Source organism: Homo sapiens, chromosome 2, assembly GCF_000001405.40.
Source record: "Homo sapiens chromosome 2, GRCh38.p14 Primary Assembly".
Lineage (NCBI taxonomy): Eukaryota > Metazoa > Chordata > Mammalia > Primates > Hominidae > Homo > Homo sapiens.
The window spans coordinates 139,039,387-139,046,493 of record NC_000002.12 but is presented as its reverse complement, the minus strand read 5'-3'; the positions used below and the strand labels follow the sequence as shown (position 1 = coordinate 139,046,493).

Here is a 7,107-nt window from a genome sequence, read left to right as displayed (position 1 = left end):
AGGAACTGAGATAAATAGGCCTTTAGTGTGAGGGTTTGTGTTAGCTTTGCTAGAAGTTAGACTTTGTTTAACTTTTTGATGTTGCTGTTGTTGTTATAGGTACCAGATGCTTCAAATTCCTCTAATGCTGTCATCTTTTTCTCTCATATTGTCTTTAGGATTCCCTAAAAATAGCTCCTCACAGACAGTCTGTAGCTTGCAGATCTTTCAGCTGTAATCCAGTTATGATACTGGAGCCCTGTTGGTGTGGTGGTGTGAAATTTTCTATATTCTTCCAACTAAATTGCAGTCTTTCAGTAGGCCTATGTCTCAGCAATGGGACGATCACAAATGTTTCTCTAGTGGTATAATATTGTACTCCCTCCTCCACACTCCCTTCCTTGGCTGAAGAATTTCAATCTATTTCCATAAAGCACTGTCTCTTATTGACTATTTTTCCCCCTTAAGTGAGGTAGGAAAACCAGAAATCTCTCCCTGGAATGGGGAGGAATTTCTTTCCTGAGCTATGATAAGATGTCTGGACTGAGTTTTGTCAAAGTCCTTCAATCTGGAGAGTAGGCCTTTGTTATAAAGGACATTCTAGCTATTCTTCTCTTTTCCCTGCTAGAGTCATATAGTGCTCTTTCTCAGATCCTCACATTAAGAACTTGGTAGGGCTCATGGAGAAAAAGCCCATGAAAGTTTGCAGACCATCCTAAGACTTCAGCTCCTAAGAGAGCCTCAGTCTCATACTAATCCACATTCAGCCTCCTTAAGTACTCCAAGCAGTTAATGGCCCCAGTAGCTTCTAATCTACATATGCAGATCGTGGCTGTTCTGTCTTTGTTTCTCTGAATGTGCCTATCTCTCTACATTTCAGAGGACCAGATTGCCCTGTGACCTGAGTTCCCAGAGTGTGAAGAAAAGTCCTTATTTTCAGTTTGTTCACCTTTTACTTGTTGTAAGATGGAGCGACAATTTCCAAGCTCTTTCCCTGTCAGAGCTAAAGCCCAGTCGTGAGCTTTTAAGAATTTTGTTTATTTTTTTAGGAAATTCTCTTACTTTGTAAACAAGTTTTTAAAATCACACTTGAAGAATGAAATTGGTGCTTAAGGAGGTAAGTATCAGATATCTGGAAAATGTATGGACACACACTCATGTTTGTTCTCTAACAATGCAAAAATGAAAAAGAATGTGTTTAAAAATACAGATTTCAATACCATAGCAGATTATGTTTTCCAAAATTATTAATTGCCTTCAGTCTTGGAAGAGTCAATTCAATTACAGAATGCTCCTTTTATTCCTATTATTAATCAACCCAGACTGATATGTACGATAGTTCATATGTAAGTCTATCTACTCCATGAGATAGTGTGAAAGTATATCTTGGTATTTCCTAGAGTTGCAAACAGAGAGCTTTGCATGTAATAGGCACTTAATGAATGTTTTAAAAATTGAGCCAAAGACAAAACTTCATCATTTTGCTTTCCTAATATGTAGTATAATTTTACAAAGCATAAAATAATTTGTACTTTTTAATCACAAATTTCCTGTTCTTAGTATGCAGGATAAGCTCTATAAATGATTTATGGGCTCATTAGGCTGATTCTCAGAAATGCCTAAAAATTTGACCCCAATTTTGGTTCCACAATACTGAGGTTTATACTTGAGAAAAATGGGTTTAATGGACTTACAGTTCCATGTGGCTGGGGAGGCCTCACAATCATGGTGGAAGGCAAAAGGTACTTCTTAAATGGCTGTGGCAAGAAAGAATGAGAGAGAAGCAAAAGTGAAAACCCCTTATAAAATCATCAGATCTCATTAGACTTATTCACTACCACGAGAACAGTATGGGGGAACCACCCCTGTGATTCAATTATCTCCCACCGGGTCCCTCCCACAGCAAGTGGGCATTATGGGAGAACAATTCAAGATGAGATTTGGGTGGGGACACAGAGCCAAACCCTATTAGTGGTCATACTGTCCTTTCAGGTTCAGAGAAAGGGATTATGGAATCTACCTCTTGATGGAGGAGTGACAAGGTCACAAAGTAAAAACAGCATGTCTGATGGGAGATGATTTATGCCGTTTTTGGAAAACGCAATTTGAGCAAACTGTCCTCTGGCCACAAAAATTTACATTATTCTGAAGTATAAAATGTATTTATCCTCCTTCCTCTACAAACTCCCTGAGCCTCATCCTTTATAGTGTCACTTAGAAGTCCAAGATATGTCACCTAAATCATATTTAGGTGTAAAAGAAGCTCTATAGATGAGGCTACTCAAGCATAACACTTTGAGTAACATTCCTCTCAACTGGAAGTCGTGTGAACTAAAATGACAACTCCTCCCCTAGTGCCTCCAACATGCAATGGTGAAAGAAGCGTAGATTAAATGCTATAGCCACTCCCATTCAAAAAGGAAAAAACCTGAGTTACACAAAAGTCATTATTTCATAGCAATTCAGACATGTTGGGTATATGTTGCCAATTCCTTAATTAGTTGTTTACTGGCTGGGAGGTGTTCTCCGTGGCCTTCACTCTCTCTTCTGGGCTCCTGGTTGTGCCTTTTGAGTTAGCCTTTCTTTTCCACAAAAGCACCTGTTTGTAGCTAAGTAATTATCTCAACCTGCTTTTTGCCCATGTAAGTTTTGGGCACCCAAACACCTGTTTTCTTTTTTTATTTTTTTTCTATTTCTTTCAGTTTATGATAATACAATCCACTTACAAACTTTGTGAGTTTTCTGTGAATCAATTTATAATTTAGTCCTTCAAATAAAACTTATGTCTACAAATCACTTAAATATAAGACCTTCTCTACCATAGTCTCCCTGTAAACCTTCTGGAAGGATAGATCTTTAAGATACTTAGAAGCCTTATTATCTAACAAAGAGCTTACCATGAGCAGGTTATTTATTGAAGGAATGTATGGATGAGTTAGTGAATATATTTGCCAAGTTTGTATATTAAAAATTGGGGTGGGAACTTAGAAAATAATTTTCGAGAAAGAGAGAACATCTTTTTCTATATAAAAACATGAGTTGTCAACCAGAACTTCAGAATTTGTTAGATTATGAAATTTATAGTAAGAGAAATAGTCACCTCATTTTCCTATGAACCATATTTATTTGTAGACATTTATGAGTTAAAAAAATACATCCTCTGTAAAAACAAACAAAAAAATTTAAACTATCTTACGTCTACAACTAAGTCTAACTCTAGAATGTCCCAGGCTAACAGAAGGTAGTCTCAACATGATTTAAGGGTATTTCCTCTTAACCTTTGTTATGTCTTACTAGCATGTCAAACTAAGAGCTAAATAAATTCTTTTTTTCCCCATCATCCATTCTTTTTAGCTTCTGTGCAAAGCTATGTGTGTCCAATATCTTATAGATTGCCTTAGTTTGCTCAGGCTGCCTAACAAAATACTGGGTGGCTCAGAAATTTATTTCCCACAGTTCTGGAGGCTCAAAAGTCCAAGATCAAGATACCAGCAAGGACATTTTCATTCTAAGATATCGTCTTTTGGCTTGTAGATAGCTGTCATCTTACTGTGTTCTGATATCACATCTATGTGCGCACAGAGGGCGATAGATCAAGCTTTCTGATGTCTCTTCTTATAAGTGCACAAGTTTCATCAGGAAAGACCCACCTTCTTGACTTCATCTAGCCCTAATTACTTCCCAATGGCCCTTTCTCCAAATACCGTAACATTGGGGATTAGAGTTTCCACACATGAGTTTTGGACAACACAAACATTCAGTCTATAATGCTCTGTCACTGGGTGCCCCAAATTCATATTTTTCTAACACAAAAAATACATATATTCTATTCCAAGAGACCCTAAATTCTTACTTTATTCCAGCGTCAACTCTAATGTCCAAAGTCTCATCCACTTATCATCTAAATCAGATATTGGTGAGACTCAAGGTGTGATTCATTCTGAGACAAAATTCCTCTCCAGCTTTGAACCTGTAAAACCAGACAAGGTATGTGTTTCTAAAATACCATAGTGGGGTACAAATAGATAGACACTCCCATTCCAAATGGAAGAAATAGAAAAGAAAGAAGGGATGATGGGTTTCAAGCAATTTCGAAACATAGCCAGGCAAATTCTATTAGGTCTTAAGGCACAAGAATAATTCCCTTTGACTTGTTGCACTACCTTCCAGGTCCACTGAGGAGGTGGTACCATTTTCTTAACACTCTGGGGCAGCAGTTCCACTCCAATGGCTTTATAAGATGTGGGCCCCACCCCTATGGCTCTAGGCAGCCCTGCCACCAAGGCACTGCTTGGTCAGAGGCTCTTTGGTTTGTTGAAACTGAGGTAAAGTCCTACCTTTTGAAACCAAGGAGGCAGCCCTGATGACCTCTGAATCACCTTTAGGATCATTCTTCCCTTTTCTTGAAAACTGGTGCATATTTGCAGTCAAATATTGTCTGATCCTATAAGATCTAAGAAGTGTGACAGTGTTCCATCATTTCATCTCATTTTTTTAAACATACCACTTGTTTCATAATCAACAAGAGTGTTTGTTAAAAGGTTTAGATTTTCTGCTAATCTCAGACCCACTGGATCAGAATAGATGACAATGTTTCATTATCCAAGAAATAAGCATTTTCACCTAATTCTCAGTTAAGTCTTTCTTATACTAAATTTTGTGAACCACAACTTAGATTTTAGAAACAAATGTAACCAAATGATTTTATTATAATTTTTTAAAATATATATATATCTTAAAACATGCATTCATTTTAAATTCTGCATGAACTAAAGACATCTTCATTGCTAAAGGCAGCATCTTCACGATGTGTCTGATTTTCTTTTGGTTCCTGATGGTCTTTCCTTTTTTTTTTTTTTTTTTGGAGACAGAGTCTCGCTCTGTCACCCAGGCTGGAGTGCAGTGACACGATCTTGGCCCACTGCAACCTCTGCCTCCTGGGCTCAGGTAATTCTCTTATCTTAGCTTTCTGAATAGTTGGGACTATAGGCATGAACCACAATGTCTGGCTAATTTTTTGCATTTTTTGTGGAGACAGTGTTTTGCCATGTTGTCCAGGCTGGTCCCAAACTCCTGGGCTCAAGCGATCCACCCATCTCAGCCTCCCAAAGTGCTGGGATTACAGGCATGAGCCACCACACCCAGCCTTATTCTAATTTTTAAAAATATGTAACGAGTATTTTGTAGGCACCATGCTAAGCACAGTTCCTTTACCATCATGGGAATTCCTTGGGAATAAATCTGAGAATTGTTATCATGCTTCACATTTGGGTGGAATTCAAAACAACTAAGGTCATGCCAAAGAACTTCAAATAAATACCACTTTGAGACACCATTTTCAATGAACTCATATAAGACAGTATATTTTGTGAGTGTTTTGGCAAATTATATAGTTTCATTTACCAAAAGCAGTCACTTTAAGGTGCAATGTCTCCAATGTGAAAAGGGCTTTATCTTGAAGCAAATCTTCACTGTAAGCATTCCCCTCATCCTGTAAGTTACCAACACTAGAACCATGGCTTTATGCTAATGAAAATGGTAAAAATACTAATAAGTCCTGTCAAGATTATTTAACATGGAGACTACAATACAATTTGGATGTTCATCACTAAAGACAAATATGTGGTTATTTTGACACTTTTGCCCAAGTCGGTCTCTGGGCTGCACTGGCAGCACTGATAGCTAATCCCCATTCTCTCTTCATGATCACAGTGAAATCTAGTGAAGCTTCCTCCCTGCTTCACTAGATTTTATTAAAATTGATATTAATCAAAACATACAGTGTTAAGAATGTGCAAAAAAAGATTAACCTCCATAAAGCTTATTCTGAATGAAACTAAACATACACTACCATTTTTCCAGAGACGTGCGGAGAAATGCACCTCTCTAAATCACAGAGCAGAGAAATTGAGTACCTGGCAGTATTTGGGAGATACTCAATTATAGAGTATCATATGTACGTTTTCATATTTGGGCTAAAAAGATAGCTACCAAATTTAGCTGAGGACAAGTTCTTGTTTCTAAACTTCATGCATTCCAAAATAATTAACATCCTTTGCTTAGAAAAAAAAGCAACAATAATAGAACTATAGTGATATAGTAACATTATTGAGATTATTTATTACAGCTCTTTCCAAATATTTTCTGTAAATCTAATTCCAAGAAATTTGATGAAATTCCTAAGAATTTAAGTATTATACCTTAGGTGCCCTAAGAAGTTGTTGATTTTCTGAAAATTAGGAGAAATAATATTATTTCTCTCTCCAGTAATGTTTTGTTTTTTATATCAAAAGTATACTTGCTTTTTAACATATTTTGTGAGCTATTTTCCCTATAATGGCACATATTTTTCCATATGCAATTATGTTACTTGAGTATATACAGGAACTTCAGAAAGTAAATAATAATTGGAAGAAAACAGTTAAAGTGCTTCAACCTATCATTGAAAATTATATTAATGTGTTTTTTGTAACATATCTAGATGACATAAGTTATATAATACTCTACCTTACTCACCAATATTTTATCAACATCATTTAATTTTATAAGCCATGCTCTTTAAAATGTATCATTGGCTTTAAAAATGTATAAAATTCTCTTCTTTATTAATTGCCTTTAGATATTGTTAGATTTAACAAATTATGTTTTCTAATATCACCAAACTTTTTAAATTAAAAAAATTACCACTAAAACTTTCAAATTCAGTTTGTTTTCTTCTACTAAGATAGAGCAGACACTTTTAGGTTTCTGACTCAATATCCATCCTATCTCCTTCTTCTTACCTAACAAAATTCACAGAGCCACCAATTCCCCATAATGGCAATGGGTCAGGGGAAATGGATCCCATCTTAGGGATTCTATGTTGTCTAAGCTAATCATAAAAATTCCACTGTCTTTGCTAGTGATTGGTCTAGAAATGTGCAAAGCCAGCTAACTAGGCATTCAGGCTAGTCTTCACTATGTCTTTTAGGAAAGTGACACAGGAAGATCTGGCCTCTTCTTTAGGACATTGGTGTGGTTGGATGAAATGTCTTGAAGTGTTATGACAATTTATACTTGAGTCTTAAAGTCATAGCATGGAGTAAGGCATATCCAAGAGAATCTGGAACTGCCTCCTCTACCTCTGTA

General features: G+C 36.4%; 1 annotated feature.

The window, feature by feature from the left end:
• Positions 487–1,069: an enhancer, noted in NCBI's record as "OCT4-NANOG hESC enhancer chr2:139802995-139803577 (GRCh37/hg19 assembly coordinates)". NCBI's record gives its function as "activates a minimal SCP1, AML or CMV promoter by ChIP-STARR-seq in primed H9 embryonic stem cells {active_cell/tissue: H9 hESC(primed)}" and the evidence as "EXISTENCE:reporter gene assay evidence [ECO:0000049][PMID:30033119]".